Raw genomic sequence first — 23,817 nt, forward strand, 5'->3', positions numbered from 1 at the left:
CTTGTACTTTTCTTAAAATTATAAGATTTATAAAATGAAAAAGATATCACATATTGATTGATTTTACTCCTTAGAATAGCAGTTAAACACTATGCAAAGTGCATTTACTAAGTTTCTTTACTTTTTGTGTGGGTGTAGTTATTTGCATAGGTTTAATATTTAATACCCTGGCTGGGCGCGGTGATCCCAGCACTTTGGGAGGCCGAGGCAGGTGGATCATGAGGTCAGGAGTTCAAGATCAGCCTGGCCAAGATGGTGAAACCCCATCTCTACTAAAAATACAAAAATTAGCCAGGCGTGGTGGTGGGCGCCTGTAATCCTAGCTACTTGGGAGGCTGAGGCAGGGAGAATTGCTTGAACCTGGGAGACAGAGGTTGCAGTGAGCCGAGATCATGCCATTGCACTTCACCCTGGGCTATAGCATGAGTCTCAAAAAATAAAAATAAAAAAAAATAAAAAAATACCTTTTGTTGTGTCAATATAAATAAAATAGGCCAAATGCAACAAAACATACTATATCAAAAATAAAATCCTCACTTTCAGTTCCTGGACATTTTCTCAAATGAAAGAGTTGGCTTATCCAAAATGATGTTTGTAGTCATATTGTAACATGTGCTTTTAGGCAATAACGTCTCAGTGTGCTGAAAAGATAAAGGTCTTAGTTTCTGGACGTGTCAAAGGACAAGACCAAATCAACTTTAATAGGTGGATATTTGCAAAAACATCATTGATAGTGCTTCTAATGATGTAGAAAAGATAAATCAGCAAATAAGAAGTCAATACCAAAAGAGGAACTCCAACATTGCAGACAATTAGAGCTGATGACAAAGATGTGATACCTGGATGCTCAGAGCTTCATATGGCCTCATGGTCTCAAGAAGCCACAATCGTGAGTCGTACCCTGGGGCTTCTGAAAAAAGTGGACTGATTGGACTTATGTTGATACGAGTGAATAGTTTAAAAGCCGCTGTTTCAATATTGTCTACTATGACCATGATGGTTTATAGTTTAAACTTATCTGTATAATGTATTAGAATGAGAGGACTGAATACTCAAAGGGTGACTCATAGCGTGCATTTGTTGCATTGTTTGAGAACATTCAGCTATGCTGTAGAAGGAAAAAAGAAATGGGATATGTCATAAGCTCATAAGAGGTGTTAAGTAAAGTACTTAGTAGAGCACGTGTATGTTAAATATAGATAGAAAAGAATGGATGGGCCAGGAGAATCCTAGTATTTTATGAGATCATAAATATACACGAGGCACTTGGGCACTAAATGTACATCAGACATATGAAGCTCTAAATACACAATAAAATCAAAATGCTCAGGATACGTAAAATATGCATGCGCACTCAATGTTCATAACACTTTAATTTGGCCAGCCATTGGTGGTACCTATCATGACCCACATGTTCTCTGTCCAAGGCACAAATAAAACCCATGGCTGTTCAATAGTCTAATCAATGAGCTACAATTGCAGCCAGGCATACATGGCCCTGTTCCTGTGTCTTTCTAACAAGCATGCGTCATTAGCCCTGGGAACCTTCTGCTTGTAGAGCTCTTGCTCAAACCTCAGGTAGGTCTGGTCTTTATAATCACAGCTTCAGTGTTGAAGGCTGATGCAGCTGAGAGAGAGGACGTAAAAACTTTGTACACTGTAGGATTCAGATAATATTATTCTTTCACCCTACTTGCTTTCTATCTTACATTACCTTACCAGATCTCTTCTTGCTATGTATTTTAAATTGTTTTAATAACCTATATAATTTGACAATTTTAATTTAGTCTGTGAGCCATTCTGTTGTGCGACTTCTTGGGTAGCTTGTCTGGTGGTATACTAGGAGGTACATTGCAACAAGGTAATTTCCCACAAGACAGATAGGATTCAGAATTCTGGAAACCTCAACCAGCTAACTGCTATGATTATGTCCCCCTGCTAGGTAACCAAGGGACATCTATGCACAGTGGCTGAACGCCATCCATGAAATCCCACCTATGGGTTTAGGTTTATGGAATTCACAACCAAACCTCACTGTGGGCCCCCAGTGTGCTGGGCCTCTTGGAGCCCTGAGAAGTCCTCTGCTTAGATTAGGTGGCCACCAAAACTGGCTAAGTGGCCTCTGTATCTCCCAGACCCATATCCAAACCTCAGCTTAAAGGGTTTTAATGAAACCCTCAAAGGAAAAAAAAGAATAGCCTCCTAGAGACAGCTGGTCAAGGGAAGAGTTAGGTGAGTTGGTCCAACCTGCTTACTCCAGACCTTCCGAGGGAAGCTAACCCCATCCAGGCAGGAAGCAGCCCCACATCCCTCTTCTTGTACCTGATTTCTGAGATAAGAGAGCTCCACAGAGAGAGTTCACCACGTGGACTCAGAGTTTCAATTCATTTTGCATCCACTGTGATATTTTAAAAGCTTTGACTCTTGACACCAAAGCCCTAGGGGGCAAGACAGGGAGCCTGACACTCCACCTGGTGGTCAGAGTGTTGTATTAACAGGTCTTTGCTAAGAATCTGTGCACTGAGTTAGGAAAGCATTTGATAATGGTTTTTTCTCAAGAGCTCTGCAAATGGTCACAAAACAAGGTACTATAGGAGGAGATCCTTCCTTTGGAGTCCACTTGGCTTGAGTGACCTTTATAGTCCATTCTCAATCTTAGCTGTCATGAAATTTTCATAATTTGTCTTATCACGCAGAAGACATTACAGGTACTCCTCACTTTGCATGGTTCCAATATGCACGAATTTGCTCCTCCACCTGATAAACAACTTCAGCAAAGTTGCAGGATACAAAATCAATGCCCAAAAATCACTGGTATTCCTATACACTAGCAACAGCCAAACCAAGAACCAAATCGGAAAGGCAATCCAAGTCACAATTGCCACAAAAAGAATAAAATACCTAGGAAAACGGCTGACCAGGTAGGTGAAAGATCTCTACAATGAGAATTACAAAACACTAATCAAAGAAATCAGAGAAGACACAAATAGAAAAAATCTCATGCTTATGAATAGGAAGAATCGATATCATTAAAATGGCCATACTGCCCAAAGCAATTTACATATTCAATGCTATTCCTATCAAACTGCCAATAACATTCTTCACAGAACTAGAAACAACTATTTTAAAATTTATACAGAACTAAAAAGAGCCCTAATAGCCAAGGCAATCCTAAGCAAAAAGAATAAAGCTGGAGGCATCACATTACTAGACTTCAAAATATACTACAAGGCTATAGTAACTAAAACAGCATGGTACTGGTACAAATCTGGATTTACATGTAAAACCTCATGATTTTAAAACAACGACAGCAATTCAAACTTAAATATCCTATGAGCCAAGCAAACAAAGTGCCACCAGGGAATGGCCTTTATTGTAAAACATCTGCAATAAGGATATCTTTGAATGGAAGACAAATTTGTTTGTTGTTTGTATTTCTGTCAGGTCAATAGTAATATTTTGTTGTTTGTATTTCTGTCAGATCAATAGTAACATTTTGTTCAGCATTTCTAATTGTGTTTATTTGATCTTCTCTCTATTCTTTATTAGCCTAGCTAGTGGCCTACTTTATTAATTTTTCCAAAAAACCACCTCCTAGATTCATTGATCTTTTGAACGGTTTTCTCTTTGTAGGTCTCTAAGAACTTGCTTTATGAATCTGGGTGCTCCTGTGTTGGGTGCAGATATATTTAGGATAGTTAGACCTTCTTGTTGAATTGAAGCCTTTACCATTATGTAATGCCCTTCTTTGTCTTTTTCTCCCCTTTCTTGGTTTGAAATATGTTTTGTCTGAAATTAGGGTTGCAATCCATGCTTCTTTTTCTGTTTTCCATTTGCTTGGTAGATTTTCCTCCATCCTTTTATTTTAAGCCTATGAGTGTCATTATGTGTGAGATGGCTCTCTTAAAGACAGCATACCATTGGGTCTTGCTTTTTTATCCAGCTTGCCACTCTGTGCCTTTTAAGTGGGGCATTTAGCCCAATAACTTGATTTTCATGAAAGAGGTTAATGGTGTGTGTGTGCGTGCACACATGTGCCTGTGCACATGCTCACTTTCAGTAATTCAAAGAAGTATCCTATATCAGAGGTCTTCAAACTGTGACCTGAGGGCAAGGCCAAATTCAGTCTGCCAATTGTTTGCTTGTTGTAAATAAAGTTATATTAAACAGTCATGTCCATTTGTTAATGTATTTTCTATGGCTGCATTCACATTACAAAGGCAGAGTTGAACAGTCTCACAAATTGCATATCCCCCAAAGATGACAATATTTACTATCTGACTCCTGAGAGCAATTCTGCTAATGCTTGCTTTAAATTTTGATTTGGTATCATTTTTAAAATCTCATTAAATTTTTAACAGACTATTTAATCAATTAATTTGCAGTTGAGCCCAAGATAAGAGTTGATTCTTGAGTTAACTGGTACCTAACATTTCACTCACAGTGCCATTCCTTTGGCTAAATGTATTGTTCTTTGTTAAAATGTAAGCTCCCAGACAAAGGTATGACACACAGTAATTTCTGAGTTATAGTAATTGGGAAACAGATAATTTCCAAAGAGTAGGTTTTTTAAGGTGATAGGAATAAGAGGATATGAGGAACTGGACTCTTTGAGACTGAGGAAGATACATCAAGCAAAAAGGTAAAGGGATATAAAGGGGATGTTAAGAAGAGAGAAGACTAAGCTTCTATTTTGTAAATTAGTGAAGGTCTGGACCAACACAAATCAAAGAAAGTACAGGTCAGGTAATACCATTTGAAGGTCTGATCACGTTTCTTTGCAGCATCTTAGAGTGTATCACAATATAGCACCTTATTTCCATCAAAAACACCATGTGCTAAGCCATGAGGAGACTGGGATGTTGAAAGCCATTTGCAGGTAAAGTGGTGCTGAAAGCATTTCCGATCTGTTGTAATGGCTCTGATCACCATTGCTGCTCCCTAGCCCACTTTCGATTTTTCTACCTTTATTCTCACCTGTAGAAGAGCAAAGAAGAAGGGACTTGAAGGATGTGGGAGAAGACATTGGGGTACTCATGAGAGCGATGGGACATGGTTTGGGGTGTCTGTGGCCACCATAAGGCAAAGTTTTGGGTTCTGAAACCTGGGGTGGAACAATGTTCCCTGGCTCCCTGGGCCAGTGCTAATGACCAATAGCACCATGAAACTTGCATACCAGAATCATACTCCAAGCATCCTAATTTGGTCTACACTTGCCCCATCTCTACTTGAGCTTAAATCTTTATCTTAAAATGAGGATTATCTCTGTCTCTCTCTTCCCATTTCTTGGATGTATTGATTCACAGTGAACTCTGACAGCCAATGGAGCTCACATTTTGTTTAGACATTATACTGTGATGTATATGGCCCCAGTGTCTGTGGCCAACCATCCTCTCTGCCATGCAGAATTTGGTTGCTGAGGCCACTAGGGGATACTCTAAATCCAGGGAGCCATCTGGTTCTGAGGAAGAAGGGCTGGGAACTAGGCCTGAGCTACCAGCGTGGGGACTTTTCCTTTCCTTTCTGCATCATCTTCTCTTCTTATTATGAGGGTTTTGTGCTAGAGAGCAGGACCCCAGCCTTAATAGGCTCCCTGGCTCTGCTGTTTGCTTTGCCTCTAAAGGGGTCCTCAGCCTGGGAGTGCACAGAGACTTTTCCTGGGGTGGATGTGGCTGCAGAGGAGGGTGAGGCTTCAGCAATAGGAGCTGCTGAAGGGGCAATGAATTGTCTCAAAGGGTCCATCAGGACAGAAGAGAAATGGTCCCAGAGGGAAGCCATTTGGTTGGATAAAGTGTGCTATTCCTGGGTGGCATCACTGGGGGAAGGGAGTAGGGGCAAGTGGCCACGGGGAGGGAGGACTCTGGACAGCCAGGCCTTGCCTGGGAAACTGCCAATCCCGGCAACTCAATCCACCCCTTCTACACAGTTTGTCATCCTCTAGATTCTGTGCCGTAGGAGCATCAGGGAAGTGAACTTGGAATGAAGGTGGCAGGGCTGCAGTCTCGCACAACTCCACAAAGCTCTGCTTACAGAGAATACAACATACAAGGTACCTCTTATATGTTCTCAAGTCATTCTTTATATTGTGAACCATTTTAATAAAGTTCATAGCAATTCCCCAAGGGATATTTTATATCTGTATAAATACAGATGTTTCTATGAAGATCTAACATCCCAAATCTACTCTCAAATCTGCAACTAGAGTGATTTTTTTTTTTTTTTTTTTGAGATGGAATCTCGCTCTGTCGCCCCAGGCTGGAGTGCAGTGGCGTGATCTCAGCTCACTGCAAGCTCCGCCTCCCGGGTTCATGCCATTCTCCTGCCTCAGCCTCCCTAGGAGCTGGGACTACAGGCGCCCACCACCACACCCGGCTAATTTTTTGTATTTTTAGTAGAGACGAGGTTTCACCGTGTTAGCCAGGATGGTCTTGATCTCCTGACCTCGTGATCCACCTGCCTCGGCCTCCCAAAGTGCTGGGATTATAGGCGTGAGCCACCACGCCTGGCCTAGAGTGATATTTTTAACCTAGAAAATAAAATTCCTTTATTTCCATGCTTAAAGTCTTTCAATGTTTCCTTATTGTCCCTAGACAAAGTGCAAACTACTTATCATTTTTCATGTGGTCTTTCACCACCTGGATCCTACATATTTTTCAGGTCTCATCTATGAACTATGGGCAGAAAATCTACGATAAACAAAAGATCAAAAAAATTAGAAAAAGACAGCCTGCTGTTATTTGATTTATGACCCTGGGTTATTGCACAACAGGAGTTGATGAATGCATCTTTTAATTACAGCCCTCAAGTGTGCAGAGGAGGTGGGGATCACAGTGAGCTCACCTCCTCAGATCACTTCTCTGTTTAACCATCGCTGGCTGCCTCTCGTCTATACAGTCCTGACCCCTGAGCATGCAGCTCTTCATGAATGGCCTTATGCCCTCAAGCCCTGTGCTGCCCCTTTCCCTTCCCTCCCACCACTGTTTCTGCTTCCTTTAACACCAGCTAGTCCAACTGTGTCCAACCACGCTGATGTACTTGACATTTCCAATCAACACTGTTTACTTTCAACACCCAGGTGAGAGGCTTCTCTAAGAACCCCTTCCCCAATTCTTCTGAGCCCTTGGGAAAAGTAAGCCACTTCCTTTAGTGTGATACTTCCTCTGCGTGACTCAGGCACTTTATACAGGCTTCTATTATAGCACTTACTGTATTGTTCATAGTTAACTTCTCCATTGCACTAGGAGGTCCCTAGAAGGCAGAGCCCTTAAACTTTTCAATTTTGTATTCCTAGCACATAGCATAATGGACAACTCACAGGCGGTACAGAACAACTACTTGGAAATTAATGACATTTTATGGGTCTAACTTGTTTTGGAATGGGTTTTCCTTAGGGGCAATCATACATACGCTGAAGCGGCTACAAGTGTTCCTTCTCAATCTCACAGTTTCAAATGTGAATTACTAACTAGCGAGGATGGAGTCCAATGATTTTCAACCTTGTCTGCTCATTGGGCTCACCTGCAGAGCTTTTAAAACTCCCAACATGCAGGCCATAGCACACAACAATGAAATCAGAATCTCTGTTGGTGGGATGCAGGCATTTGTGTTTTAAAAAACTCCCCAGGTGATTCTAATATACAGTTAAGCCTGAGAACCACTAGTTTGAGTGTTCCTAGGTAGTTAATTTAAAAAACCTTTTCCTGTATGCTCACTATGTAGTAAACACTGCGTTAGGCATTTGGAGGGGAGGTGGGGTGGGAAGGTAGTATTTGGCCCAGAAAGAGGAAGAGCCTCAGAATTTCTATATTAGACATAGTGCTTGCTTTTAGGAAACTGCAGTCCTTACAGCCTCCATGAGCAATAGCAAATGGTGATGGTATCTAAATTGTATGGTTTAAATCAAGGTTTCCCAACAGTGGTATTTTGGGTTAGATAATTCTTGATTGTGGGAGGCTGTCCTTGGCATTGTAGGATGTTTTGAAGCATCTCTGGCCCCTACCCACTAGATGCCAGTAACAAGCAAAAGCACTCCTCACTTCCTACTGCCACAGTATATAACAACCAAAAATGTCCAACATGTCCAAATGTTCCCTGGGAGTAAAGTCATCCTTTGTTGAAAACCATTGATATAGAGCTCAGTGTAGCATCCTTTGCAAGACCCCCAGGTGATCTGTATGCACATTAAAGTCTGAGAAACACGCACTGGTTTAAAGCAGTGATTCCCGAAGTGTGGCCCGTGAGCAGCATCAGCATCATCTGGGAACTTGTTGGAAATACATCCTCAGTCCCCACTCCAGACCTACTGAAACCAAAACTTTGCTTCGGTAAGTCCTTTGGGTGATTCTCACACTTAGGTTTCAGGGCCACTAACTAAAGGGGAAAAGGAGATTGGATGCACTGGAGCAATCAAAAAAGTCTTAGGAATAGAGCTTGATTTGGGCCTTGAAATTGAATAGGCGGTGGGGAGGGTATTCCAGGTGCAGAGAACAGCATGAGAGAGGATTTTCAGATGTAAATTAGCCCACACTCTTAAACTGCCAAGCCCCTCTTTTTCTCCTTTTCCCCTTAACTTCCTCAATCTGTTTGTTTTCTTGTGTTTTGGATAGAAAACGGTCTCCTCTGCAATTTATACTCCATGATGTGTTCATCAGCTTGCTCAAGTAATTCTTTGAGAATCTCAACAAAATGATCACTTGCAAAAACACAGGAGTGTGTTTTTGAAAAGTTGTGAATAATCAAATTTACCATCAGACATATGTACAAATCAGTACATATTTACAAATGTATTTCTCATTTACAAGGATTTTATATTGCAAACCATTTTTATAAAGTTAATAGCAATCCCCCAAGGGATATTTTTGGTGACTATAAATACAGATGTTTCTATCAAAAAATCTAGCATCCCAAATCTACCCTCAAATCTGCAACTAGAATGATATTTCTAACCCAGAAAATCTGATTCCTTTGTTTCCATGTTCAAAGCCTTTCAACGTCTCTCCATTGCCCCTATACAAAATGCAAACTGCTTACCATTTTTCACATGATTTTTTACCACCTGGATCCTATATATTTCTCATCTATAGACTATGGGCAAAAAAAATCTACAATAAACAAAATATCAAAAAATTAGGTGAAGACAGGCTGCTGTTATTTGTTTTATGACCCTGGGTTATTGTGGAACAGGAATTCCAATCGGCCCAAGGTTGGCCAGGACAGACCTTGTCAATGAGAGTTGACAATGGCACGGGAACAGATTGGACAATGTGGAACTTTATATGCAGTCATTTTTTTTTTTTTATTGTAGAGCTTGTATTGACTTCTTCCACAAACTATAGGAACATTTTTGGGTGAATGTACACTATAGGGATGCATATTCCTTTTGCCTCAGGCTCCAGGGTGACTCCACATAGCACTGAATCAGAGTGTTCCTTCCTCCTAATTGATCTGGGAGATCAAATGAAGGCTGATAGGGAATCTTGGGGATGTTGATTTGGATGTGAGACAGGAAACTTACAGGGTGGTTACAGGAGAATAAAAATTCCAGGCAGCAGTTTCACATAACTAGAGGCTATGGGCTGATAAGACCCTGAAAAACCAGGTGTGGACCAAGCTGACTGAGACTGACTGGACCCAACATGGAGCTGGATCCTACTTAGGTTTCACCTAGGACCTTATTATATGCTCATTAACATACAAATCACACACCTGCCAGTGCCATGACAGTTCCAAGAACATCTATACTTGCTGGAAAAGTGGGCGGCATGACAATTCTGAGAAATCTCCACCTTTTCCCAGGAATTTTCGTGAATATTCCACCCCTTGCTTTGGTTAAAGAAACCCATGAAGGTAGCAACCCCAAACCCCCTTGTGCATGACTCTTGTCTACAACCACATTCCCTTCTCTTGAGTGTGTAATTTTCCCTCTGCAACAAATCTCTGTACTTTCACTATTTTCTGACTCATCCTTTTTTTTTTTTTTTGAGACAGAGTCTCGCTCTGTTCCCCAGGTTGGAGCACAGTGGCATGATCTCGGCTCACTGCAAGCTCCACCTCCCGGGTTCACGCCATTCTCCTGCCTCAGCCTCCCAAGTAGCTGGGACTACAGGCGCCCACCACCACGCCTGGCTAATTTTTTTGTATTTTTAGTAGAGACAGGGTTTCACTGTGTTAGCCTGGATGGTCTTGATCTCCTGGCCTCCTGATCCACCTGCCTCAGCCTCCCAAAGTGCTGGGATTACAGGCATGAGCTACCGCGCCCAGCCCTGACTCATCCTTGAATTCCTTCTTGCAACAGTGTCAAGAGCCTGGACACCAGCTGGAGTCGAGGTCTCAACCATGTTTGGGGACCTCTCTGAGCCCATCAGTATCAGGTGGTGGTGAGAGAAGGTCAGCCAGCTGACTGAGATTTTTAGCTTCAAGTATGCCTTGCCCAATTCCTTGCCACCCTTCATCTTTTGCCTTCATGGCCCCAGCCACCCAGGGCCATTTGCATATCCCCAATACCATGGTCTCTCTCAAGTCTAGTCCTATGCACACATTGGCACTCTTGCCTAGAAGGTTCTTACTGGTGTCTTTTCACCTGGACAACTCTTACTTTCACTTCACTCTCCATTAGAGGTTGCTTCCTCCAGGAACCCTTTCCTGACCAATGAAGGTGTCAGGAAGTTTGGGCATCCTTCATGTTAGCTCTGTAGCACTCCATGCTGACCACTCGCGAAAACTCACACAATGCACTCCAATGTAAGAGTTCACCCATCTTCCTCCCCGACTGTACTGTCAGGTCTGTAAGGGCAGGGAGTGTATCCTGTGCACTGTTGTATCTCCTGAGCCCAGCCCTGTCCCTGACACATAGTAAGTGCTCAATTAGTCATTTATTAAATGAATAAGTGAACTCATGAATATCTGGCTTGAGGGGTTTTATATCTGTATTTTAATCTACAGTTAATGCAGCACTTCTTTTTCCCAAACTAAAATTAATTAACAATGTTAGGCTACATTGTTCATGTTTTACATACAGCCAGCCTCTATTTTCTTTCTGTACTGCTTTTTCCTTTTTTTTTTCTTCCCGTGCTGGCTTTTCTTTCTGCTCTTGGTGGGGCCTGGAGTATCTCTGTGGAAAAGTAGAAGGTTCTCACCAAGGAATCCAGCACTGAGCCTGCTGCCCCGAAGTTCCCCAGCATTGCTGCTTTTGTTGTTCCCCAGCATGCTGGACCAGCAGCAAGGAAATACTGACTCAAGTTCTTGGCTATAAACATCCGTGGAGAAATGCTTTCTCCAGAGATGGACCCATAAGTGGAGGAGGCAAAGAACATAATTCCTGTATATTGACCAGGCATCATTTACCACTTAAATGGAGGAGGGCCAGTCAGTATGTTCAGGAAAGGGGCTGCGGACCTCGATTTTTTTTCAGGTGTAATTAAAGATACCATTCCCTAGCGATGTCCTGCTTAGAATTCAATTAATCTGGTGCATGTGCACACACATACGCACATGTACATATACATGCACATATATACGTGTAAACACACATATACTCATGTATCTATATGCTTATACACATATTTATATATTTGCATATGTGTATGTATACCATACATAGGTATATATGCATATGTAGCTACATATAGGTATACACATATGCATTTATGTAATCATACAAATACAGAGACAATATACATATTTTCAGTCCTAAAATTTTAATAACTTAGGTCAGGGGTTAGCAAACTTTTTCTGTAAAAGATCAGAGAGTAGTTGGGTGCAGTGGCTCACGCGTGTAATCCCAGCACTTTGGGAGGCTGAGGTGAGCGGATCACGAGGTCAGGAGTTTGAGACCAGCCTGGCCAACATGGTGTAACCCCGTCTCTACTAAGAATACAAAAAAATTAGCTGGGCGCGGTGGCGGGCACCTGTAATCCTAGCTACTCAGGAGGCTGAGGCAGGAGAATTGCTTGAACCCAGGAGGCAGAGGTTGCATTGAGCCAAGATCACGCCACTGCACTTCAGCCTGGGCGACAGAGCGAGACTTCATCTCAAAAAAAAAAAAAAAAAAAAAATCACGGAGTAAATATTTTAGGCTTTGTGGGCCTTACTTTCTTTTTCCTTTCTTTCTTTTTTTTTTTTTTTTTAAACATAGTCTCGCTCTGTCGCCCAGGCTGGAGTGCAGTGGCGCGATCTTGGCTCACTGCAACCTCCGCCTCCCGGGTTTAAGTGATTCTCCTGCCTCAGCCTCCCAAGTAGCTGGGACTACAGGCGCGTGCCACCATGCCTGGCTATTTTTTTCTTTTTTTTGTATTTTTAGTAGAGATGGGGTTTCACCATGTTAGCAAGGACAGCCTCGATCTCCTGACCTTGTGATCCACCCGCCTCAGCCTCCCGAAGTGCTGGCATTACAGGTGTGAGCCACTGCGCCCAGCCTGTGGGCCTTACTTTCTCTGATGCAACTATTCAGCTCTACCATTGTAGTTGAAAACAGGCATAGACAAATTATTAGCAAATGAGGTTGGCTATGTTCCAATAAAACTGTATATACAAAACAGCAGTGAGCTGCACTAGGTATACCAATCATAGTGTGCCAACCTTTTCCTTAGACTATAGGTATGACTAGAGCATTCAGTAAATGGCATTTAAAACAAAATTACCTAAACGTTAGGACAACCATATAAGTATTGGGTATTTTCTTACCAAATACTATGGTAAAGTACAAATTCTGTGGACAAGAACATAACGTATGTCCTCCAACTCGTAGACTCTACATTCATAAAAATTAAGATAACAACCACCTGTTACAGAAGGACTTATCCAAATGGTATGTATTTCTTCATTGTTCATCTTTTTGTTGTTTAAATATGTTCAACATGCTTTAGGAAATAAGGTCCACTGTGAATCATTCACATTTCCTTATCTATTCAGTGAACGCTCAAGAAGTGGAAGCTTTTTTACTTCCTGCACGTTTCCATAGAAAGCAAAACCTGTATTTCATGTTTTCTCCTTACAAATACTGAAGGAACCTGCAGAAGCAACAGTGCCCTTTAAAGACAACCAGGTGTTTTAGATATACAACATGTTATTTCTTTCTGAATCACATTCAGCTTTTTGTCACAAAATCCCTGGACAAGAATGAAAGCAGGGACTCAGCTCCACCTGGCACGGTGTCAATCAAAAATACCACATGTAGAAGTGATGGCAGCCACAGGAAAGTGGCAGTCCGAGGTGAATGAACGTCATGGTGACAATTGCCTGAGCATTGTCAAGTCTGAGAAAGATTAAACAGCCATCTTGAAATGGAATGTGTGGTTCGTCCGAAGTTGCAGCCGGCAATGTGCCTTTTGCAATTTGCAAAAGATCCAAGTACAAAAAGTGATTTAAGACAAGTTCATAAGGGTTGCAGCTCCTGCGAATATTTCTGCAGTTAAAACATGGAACATTTTTATGTTTTATATTCCATGGAACATTTTATGGTTAAAACATGGAACAGGTTTTATAAAACATGTTTACGATTCACTTTTATTTTTATCAAGCGGATTAGATTGTAGAGAGAAAAGATTGGTGAGTCACTTCTCGACCGTTCACATAGGGTCGAATCTTTAAAACTTTCTAAGTAACCTTTCTCAGAGCATGCATTTCTAAAACACAAAACCATTCAGCAATCATGGAAGAAAATGCAGAAAACATATTTTGACTTCAGCCTTTGAGAGTATCATTGGGTAAGAGGTATCTCAAGATTTATTTTTATTTAACTCTTTCCTCTTTGAAAGAGGTCTACATGAATTATCAGTTTTTCAGAATTAACACATTATTATTATTATTATTATTATTATTATTATTATTATTATCATCTCCTTTTTCTTCTTTTCGAGACAGGATCTCATTCTGTTGCCCAGACTGGAGTGCAGTGGCGCAGTCATGGCTCAGTGTAGCCTCAACCTCCCTGGGCTCAAGTGATCCTTGCACCTCAGCCTCCCAAGTAGCTGGGACTACATGCGTGCACCACCACACCTGGGTAATTTTTCTATTTTTTGGTGGAGACGGGGTCTTACTATGTTGCCCAGTCTGGTCTCCACCTTCTGGGCTCAAGCTATCTGCCCACCTTGGCCTCCCAAAGTGCTGGCATTACAAACATGAGCCACCATGCCTGGCCTAAAATCTCCTTTAAAGGTAGCATTACCTCTTATTCCAAGCCTAACTTTTTTATATTTTCAGTAGAATGCGTTCCAGTCTTAGCTTTTCCAACAGGTAAGTGCAAACTTCAGATACTTACTTGTTCAAATAGTATTTTTGAATTCGTATGTTAAAAATAGTCTAATAAATCTGACCCCAGTTCAGTTATGACCATTTACCACTCTTCTTTCATTTGTCATGTCACTGTGTGAATAAAGTACAAATGGAAGCAGCTCTAGTGGTATTTTATATGTCCTAAACACACAATAGTGCATCTGGAGGGGATTTGAGCAGCCCACAGTGAAAAGGAGTAACTGAGTAGAAACAAACCAAGGGATATTATGGTTGTGACATGTTCATTGTCTCAACTTCCTGAGACTTATAGACAGTTTCTGAATACCTCAAAAAAGCACTAAATCTGGCTAAAATACCTAACAACCACAATGATACCCAAACTCAGTGAAAGATGGAAATTAAAATGGAATAACTCATAGGATCCGATTGTTGAATGATGGATATGGAAAAAAAGAACAAGGCACAGACAGGCTTTAGACCACCAAAGTCATGTAACTAAATATCACACAATCAGATGCAAGTTAAAAAAAGTCTCTGTATACCTCATAATCCCTACTGCTTGGTCACAGTGTAGCATTTCCACAGCAGTTCTCCTTGGCCTGGAGAGGGTAACAGCTTCTCCTTTATGTTCACCATTCACCCCCTGTACTGGATTTTTCTCCACCTTGTCGCCTCCTCTCCAGGTTTTCTCCTGCCAAGAAGGGAGATGAGTGCCTGCAAACAGCACTGATTTGACAGTAGCCAGCATCAGGACTCAAGAAGCCAGGGATCCCTGCTCAGCAGGCCAATCAGAGAGATCCCATTATGCAAGGGGCTGCTGAGGGACTATTTGTCCCGAACTGGAGGCAGAAAACTGAAGGATGCCCTTTTAGAGTTTGTATGGGTTGTTTTTGGAGAGAAGCCATGCCATTTTTTTGTTTTGTTTTGTTTTGTTTTACTGGCATCTAGTTTGTGTGTGTGTGTGTTTGTATGTATGTGTGCATGCGCACGTGTGTGCATGTAAATCTGCTGTCTTTGAAGGGAGACAAACATTTTTCCAGTTCCTTCCTTAAGGTACTTTAGTATTCTCACATTTTAATTCCCCATTGTTTTAATTCCAACCATCCAAATATGTTATGATCTGAATCAAAAGCTAGTACCCCAAATGTATTCAAATAGGCTACACACACACACACACACACACACACACACACACACACACACACACTCTGCTGTGTCATCCATTCTATTACCCCCAACATCATGGTATTAATTAGTGAATTCTTTCACCCTTAAGCTACAGCTGATAGCTTTGCACCAGGAGAATTTCTCTGCCTATTTCCCTATCTGGCAGAGCTAACAGGATTGGAGTGGCTACTCCTGCAGTAACACTTCACACTGTTGTGGTCACCAGAGGTTGAAGGAGGCCCTGGGGTTTTCATCTACGAGGCTGACTCTGACCGGGTTGTCCGTAGATTTAGACTAGGTTCCACCTTAATCAAACCAAATACAGCTCAAAATGTTTCTCCAGCAGATTACAAATCAATTTACCAGACAAAACTCCCCATTAATCCATAAGTGTCATAGAGCGACCTGCACAGACCTGCAGAGCATCTATACAACAATGATATTTTGTGTTCTGATTTTCCTACCTGTGCAATTGTAAAATATCCCTAAATAGCCGGTATTTATAAGTTTTCATTTGAAAGAAGCATAAGAAATCTATGTCTCATCTTAGTCAATGAAAAAAAATTATCCTTAACTGTGAACAAAGTCAGAGACATAGTCTCTCACAAGTGGGAATGAAGAAATTATGCAGGACCTATTTAGCTTCTGGTGAATGTGGCAGGTATTTCCAAGGGGTGTTTCAAAAATAAAATCCCTATGGAGATATATATATATATATATATATATATATATATATATATATATATATACATTTACCGATCAAAAGATATGCCATTATATACATCACCTTCTTCTCCTGTTTAACTTGACATTTTCTTCATGATCACTGAGCTCTGGGATCCCAGCCCTCCTACAATAGTGCTCTCCTGCCATGGTGACTCACTAACTTGTTCGTTTCAAAAGTGTTCTCAGATGATGAAAGCAATAGAACATTCAGAAAATAAAATAAAACTCTACAATTCTATGCCCAGCACAAAAGCTGCTCTAAGGTTTATATATTTCCTTCCAGGCTTTTTAAATTTTGAATCCTTACTTTAAAATATTTCTGTTAAACAGGCATGAGAAATCATTATAGGAAAATGAGACTACAACAGAAAATCATAAAAGGAAAACAATTAGAATACTCTCTAATCCCTCCACTCAGAAATAAATACTGTTAACATGTATACAGTTTTTCTTTCTCTTTCCATATACCAACACATGTTTTTAAAGGATTACTTTTCAATGCTCATGCCTCTTTCTGCCTTCATTCATTCGTTTATTCATTTGTTCAATAAACATTAATTGAGCACCTACTATAATACCAGCCAGCACTTTACTAGAGTTAAAACAATGCACAAAAAATGGCATGGCCTCTCATGGTTCTCATGATTCTTATAGTCTACAGGGGAAGATAGATCTCAAACAAATAATTACTACTTTTTCTTTGAGGAATAAATTGTATTTGTCTTCAGGCCTTAAAGTCTCATCTGTCTTTTCAAATCTCTCTTGCCACCTCACCCCCACAAATTCCAATCTCCCTCTGCTTTTGTTCATTATTAAACCTTCATCACAATTCAAGTGAAAGGTGTCCTGGAACTCTCTGTTCTTTTTTTGAAGAGTTCATCCCCTGTGTCCTCCAGGCACAGGTGAGTCACTGAGCTGGGAGGTGGCTCTGTGGAGTACGGACTGTACCACCAAGTGGCCTTGCACAAGTTTTTGATAACACCTACCAGAGCCACGAGAGTTCTGAGAATTCTCCCCACAGGAAGAGGAAGCATTTGGAATAGGAAGTAAGACTGAGCTGCCAAATATAGCACAGCTATATAAGAAGCCAGGTTGAGAAAGAGGAAACATGCACTCTTTTCAGCTGCCAGGCAGCACTTTGCTTTGGGGAAAAACAAACAAACTGTGCCATGGCTGAAAGCCTAGAGGAGCTGGAACTCAAATGCTGTGTGGTGTGCCTGCTGGGACCCTGTGGCTCTGGAATGGAACGCTGTGGGAATCCCAGTGCCAGGCTCTGGGAGGGTCTCTTGCTCAACCAAAAGCAGGGAGAGTTCTCCATAACCAAGGGCCTGCAGCAATTATTTGATTAACTTCACCAAGTTTCTGCTCTGTTTTCTGTTTTGGCTATGGTGACATGGACTTTTGTTATTATTATTATTAGTCTTCTTAATACTGCTGGAGAGAATGGCCAGTATCTTAATATCTTCAATAGATAAAGAAAAGCCTATTAAAGGCAAAATACCATGAACAGAGGCTATTCTGTGTCTACACGGTAAGCTGGATCTTCTAGTCCACCTGAGTAGTGGCCTGCTTCTCAGAGGAGGTAACTTCTCTGATATTGTTGGTCTTATCCTGTGGGTTGAAGAAGTGAGCACAAAGGACCTGCTGATTCATTTTCACATTCTCATCACTGACACTGCCTGCTCCACCACGGGCGCTCAATACTATGACAAATCCTCACTTGGTCAATTTTGTGAATGTGACATACTGAAAAATGTTACCATAAATAAAATGAGTGGGTTTTCCCTATGTACATAATAAGCAAGATATGATCAAATGAAGTTTCACTTTACCAATATGCAGGCAATTATTATCTTTATAATTGTTACTTCATTTTCCTTTGGCCTCTCTAAAAGTCCTGTGCTCTCTGACCTTATTCTTCTTCCCCAGACACCTTGCACTCTTGGCCCTTCCTTCCTGCCCTCCCCATCTTCCTTCTCGGTGATCTTAGGCACCCCCATGGCTTCAACTGTATCATCTCTGTCAATAACTCCACATTTACATCCATGCCCAGGCTTTTCTCCCCGGCCCCAGAGCTGTTCTTCCAACTGCTGTAGACATTTCTACATTGATATCCGGGAGGGACCTCAAACACAACATACCAACAAATAAGCATGCTGTAGCCCCACCTGCCCTCACCCCTAGTTTGCCCCCGACCTCTATTTCCTATCATGTTTAGTGGCATCATCCCAGGCAACCAATGCTGGAAACACTGGAAATACCTCCAATGAAAATGTCAAATGGAACTGTTTCTGCCTTATTTTTATTTTTTAAAAATATTTTAAAACTATTTTTATTAAAATCAGTAGTAAGAATCTGCCTCATGTTTTACTGTGATGCCAAGACAAGCATGGTAGCTGAATGATGGTCCCCCAAACACATCCACATGCTAGTCTCTAGAACTGCATGGTGAAAGGGACTTTGCAGATATAATTAAGTTAAGCATTTTTTTTTTCAACCATGTTGGTCAAGCTGATCTCGAACTCCTGACCTCGTGAGACACCCGCCTCGGCCTCCCAAAGTGCTGGGATTACAGGCGTGAGCCACCGTGCCCAGCTAAGTTAAGGGTCTTGAGATGGGGAGATGGCCCTGGATCATGCAGGAGGGCCTGATGTACTCAAAAGGGTCCCCATAAGAGGGGTCAGTCAGAGAAAGAGATGTGAGGACAGTGGCAAAGGCTGAAATGCTGTGGCCACAAGCGAAGGTGGCTCTAGAAGCTGGAAAAGGCAAGGAAACAGGCTCCAAGCCTTGAGGGGAATGCAGCCTTTGAGTTAAGCCTTGTAAGATCCATTTTGGACTTCTGGCCTATAAGACTTGGACTTCTGGCCTATAAAACATAATAAAATTACACTGTTTTAAGCCACTATATTTTGGGTAATTTGTTACAGTAGCAATAGGACACCAATACAATAAGAGATTTCAGATATGAAAGGGAGCAGGAGATGATTTCCAAAGAAAGTGGCCTCTCTGACATCTGCTCCAAGAATAAAAGTGGTAGAAATTGGTCAGGATGCCAAGGAAATTTGATGAGGAGATAGGCAAGATGATGGCTCTGGAGGAGCCATTGGCATTTGTGGGTCTCCTTCCATTCCCTCTAGGGAAGTGCCAGGGTTGAGAAGCACTGTTCTTGGCAGTTCAGCAGGTGCTACTTTCCACTTGGTATATTGGGAAACTAAGCAGGGAGAGGTCAATAGCTTGCTTGAGCTCATGTAGCTTGTTAGGGATGAAGCCAGGACACTGATGCAGGATGGCTCTTGTCCATGCTGACTGCTGCCTCACCTCAGAGAAGGCAACAAAAGCAGAGACTGGAGCTCTAATTGATGCAGGGTCTTGCTGGTGGCATCCCACTGCTCTTGGCTTCAAAAGCATGGGCGAGTGATGTTGGTCTCGTGGGGAAAGGCAAGCCCCTCGCAGTAGGGAGCACAAAGGGAAGAGGAGCTTACTAAGACCAGTGTCAAAAACAGGAGAAGACCTGCTTCTGTAAGCAGGTCAGACAGAATACAGTGTTCTTTATCCCTTGCTTCTCTGCCTTTCAACCTTTATCTTGATTAGCAGTTTCTCTGAATTCACTTTCCTCTTTCTGGTAACTCAATCCTAAATACTCCAGCCTGAGTTGTTAATTTGGTCGATTAAACAAGAGAAATCCCTTAGAAATCGTCTTACCATTCTGAAGTCCATATTCCTCCAGAAATATTTACTTCTGCCAGATAAATACCAATGAATTCGTAGGAAATGTTTCCTCCATTTTAACTTTGATCAAACTTCATTCAAAACCATGAAACCAAAAGAAGAAACCACAAAGCTCGTTACCACCCAGATGGCTCCCAGCTTATGAATAAGTTGTATTCCAAAAGTTGGCTTGTAAATCAGCGGTTCAGTATGTATGGTGGCCTTTCCCGCAGAAACCGTGTTTTAAATGGTGGTCAAGTTTCAAGCTCTCCCATAAAGTCTATCTAACTCATGAGATAACAAGTAATATTAACAGATAATAGAATTCCAGAAATTCTTTATGATTATTTTTTGGGAGGAAAGCAGGATAAGGAAAGAACGATACTTCCTGTGGGTGGAGGTGGGGACTCAACTGTCTCCAAGCAAAGAGGCCACACAGCCTTCTACTGCCCTGGGCCAAGTGGGTTTTGTGGCCAGCAGGAAAGGCCCTGTGGTGTGGCATGAGGCAGGAGAGCATGGGAGAACGGATGCCCAGAAGAACTTCCAGGAGAGAGTTAGGAGGAAGTAGTTCAGAGAGACAGAGGATCAAGAACAGCTTCAAGAGAAGAGAAAACTGGAGAGGAAGCAAATGGAAAATGTTTACAGGTATTATAGTAGGTTATGAGTTTAATTCTTTTTAATGTTTGCTATAGTTTGAATGTTTGTCCCCCATTAACCTCAGGTTAAAATTTAATCCCAATGTTGGAGGTGGGGCCTAATGGAGGTGTTTGGCCATGGGGACAGATCCCTCATGAACAGTCTCGTGCCCTCCCTGGGGATGATTGAATCATCACTATATTAGTCCCCTCTTCCCACCAGAGCTGGTTGTTAGAAAGAGCCTGGCCCTCCTTCCTCCCCCTTTCCTCCTCTGTCACCCCATGAGCTCTACAGAGCTGGCACCCCTTCACCTCCCGCCTTGAGTGGAAGCAGTCTGACGCCTTCACCAGATGCAGATGCTGGTGCGAGGCTTCGTGTACAGCCTGCGGAACCATGAGCCAGATAAGCCTCTTTACTTGACAGATTACACAGTTTTTCCTTTAGGGCAAAACAAAATGAACTGAGACAGTGTCCTTCAAGAGATTCAAGTGAAAATTAGAATTATTTTAAAATTACTTTTTCTTGTTAGATGGCATTTTTTGACTAGAACTCTATACTAGGATTGGGCTATGGGAGCGCCAGGATTTATATGGGCTTTATAAGTAGGAGCCTGTGCTATAGATCCTATATTATTCAGGCAAGCAGGAAAGAAAAGATTTCCTTCCACTTCCACTCCGTAAACGTTTCTTAAGCCAACATTTTTTTAGTGCTTGCTAGGTCTCTGGTGCTACAAGGGACACTAGACAGGATGAGATACAAAAATAAATAAGATGGACTTCTTGCCTTTGAGGAGCATATAGGTTATAGGGGAAGACACCACTGCCAACAAATGATCCCCATGCGTGCTACACTAGAAGTGTGTGCAAGTAGCATAGGGACACAGATAAAGAATGGCTTCTCTGCCTGGGTGGTTGGGAAAGGTTGTTCTCTCTAGTTGGGACCCTGCTTGAGTCTGTCCCTTATATCTTCTGCCTTCAAATATCTTCCCATGTTACTTCATCCTGTTCTTCACTTTTTCATCTACAGAATCTATGAAAAAAAATTTGTTTTTACAATGACTCATTGGAAAAGAAGAATTTGGCAATGAGCAGTGGAGGGAGGCTAGGAATGCCAACAGAAATGGTGGTTACATGTTTTAATATTTTATAAATTTTATAAATTAGGAATTGGGTTTATATATATGTCCACATATGTATATGTACATGTAGGTATATATGTGTGTGCATGTATATAATGTGTGCATATATGTGTGTGCATTGTAATCAAAAGGAAGTCTCCAGAAGGAGCAGTTTCCCAGGATCCAGTCTTCTGGTGAGACACTGGGGATGACACGGGGATTGACAGGGCTCCAGGCATCACTGCCACATTACTTTGGATCTTGTATCTGAACTCTAGAATATGTCACATAGTCATCAAACCACAGTTTAGTCTGCTTTTCCACAAAGGAAAACTTTATCTGTTGGCCTGTGTTACACTATAATGTGTGAGGGGAATTGGATGGTGTTACATCGGGAAGCCAAGCAAAGTTTATTGTTTCTTGGGATTACATTCTTATATTTTTATATTCTTTAATAAAGCACAGGCTGGAGCATAAGTAAAAGGAAGCAAGTTCTTAACTACTAAAAATTGACTGCATGGCCCTGTCTCACACCGTAGATAAATACTAGCTAAAAATGGACCGTAGACCCAAATGTCAAAGCTAAAACTATAAAACTCTTAGAGGAATCTGCAGGAGTATTCTTTGTGACCTGGCGTTATGTAATGATTTCTTAGACATGACAGTAAAAGCGTAAGTGACAAAATACAAAATAGATAATATTGGACATCATCAAAATCAAAACTTCTGTATTTCAAAAGACACTAGTAAGAAAATGAGGAGAAAATCCACAGAATGGAAGAAAATATCTGCAAATCATATATCTGATAAGGGGCTTGTGTCCAGAACATATAGAGAACTCTTAAAACTAACAATAAAAAGACAAATAACCAAATTTTTAAAATGGGTAAACAGTTTGAATAGACATTTCTCCAAAGGAGATATGCAAATGGCTAATAATCACATGAAAAGATACTCAGAGTCATATGTCATCAAGGAAATAGAAATTAAAACCATAATGAGATCCTGGTAAGATGGTTAAACTAAAAAAGATAGATAATATAATAACATATGTTCTTGAGAATGTGGAGAAATTGAAGCTCTCATATATTGCTGATGAGAATATAAAGATTCAGCCGCTGAGGAAAATAATTTGGCAGTTCTTCCAGAAGTTAAATATGGAATTACCATATGATCCACCAATTTCAGTTCTAGGTATAAACCCAAGAAAAATGAAAACATATATACACATAATGACCTGTCCACAAGTGTTCACAGTGCCATTTTTTATAATAGCCAAAAAGAAACAACCTAAATGTCCATCAATAGAGAAAATGGGTAAACATGATGTGGTTTATCCATACAATGGAATATAATTTGTCTATAAAAAGGATGAAAGTACTGATGCATGCTACAAAATAAATTAGCTTTAAAAACATTATGCTAATTGAAACAAATCAGACACAAAATGTTACTTATGATCAGATGATCCTATTTATATAAAATATCCAAAATATACAAATCCATAGAGATAGAGAGTAGATTAGTGCTTGCCTATGGCTGGGGGAAGGGGAGATTGGAATGAGGAGTGCCTGCTAATGGGGACCGGGTTTCCTTTTGCAGTGGTGAAAACATTTTGCAATTAGATAGTGATGATGGCTGCTCAACTTGGCAAATATGCTAAAAACCACTGTATGTTTTGAAAGGTCAAATTTTATGGTATATGAATCACATCTCAACAAAGTTGTTTTAAAAAAAAACAGATTGCACAATCCCTGCCTCCATACGGAGGGGATGGGGGGCCAGGATCACTAGTTATTCTCTTATCAGAGAGTGGTCTGATTAAATAGCACTCCATCTCTGGGTTTTTTTTTTTTTCCTTTTTCTTCCAGAGAGGTGAGCATCTGCAGAATGCTGTCTGGCACACTGTGTTCATTAGAATAAGCAAAAATAGCATCCCACCTACTGAACAGCTGTCATTGATGTTCAGATTGCTGTTTTGCTTTTTTCTTTTCTTTGTTTTTAAAACATCATTAAATAAGCATGGATCTCCCCAAAGAAGCTCTAACGTTTGATTGGATAATTCTCAGGATGTATTTTCTGAAAGGTCAGTGATTTTTTTTTTCTTTCAGAACAGTGATTCTTCAGTGGTGGTCTGAAGACCACGGGTGTTCCTTGAGGAGCCAGTAAGTCAAGCATCTGCAACTCCCCTGTGCACAGTGTAGGGCAGGGGGAATGAATGAGGCTATAGC

The 23,817-nt window shown here is 41.2% G+C and overlaps 1 protein-coding gene across 5 annotated transcripts in view, besides 1 other annotated feature; it reads right to left on the reverse strand.

The window, feature by feature from the left end:
* RIPOR2 (RHO family interacting cell polarization regulator 2) overlaps window positions 1–23,817 on the reverse strand; it is a 237,885-nt gene that overhangs the window by 185,310 nt on the left and 28,758 nt on the right. The gene's annotated exons all lie outside the window — the stretch shown is intronic.
* Window positions 19,473–19,625: a silencer, noted in NCBI's record as "fragment chr6:25009294-25009446 (GRCh37/hg19 assembly coordinates)". NCBI's record gives its function as "represses an EF-1alpha promoter that drives an FKBP-Casp9 reporter gene in an ReSE screen in K562 erythroleukemia cells {active_cell/tissue: K562}" and the evidence as "EXISTENCE:reporter gene assay evidence [ECO:0000049][PMID:32094911]".

This window comes from Homo sapiens, chromosome 6 (genome assembly GCF_000001405.40).
Source record: "Homo sapiens chromosome 6, GRCh38.p14 Primary Assembly".
Classification (NCBI taxonomy): Eukaryota; Metazoa; Chordata; class Mammalia; order Primates; family Hominidae; genus Homo; species Homo sapiens.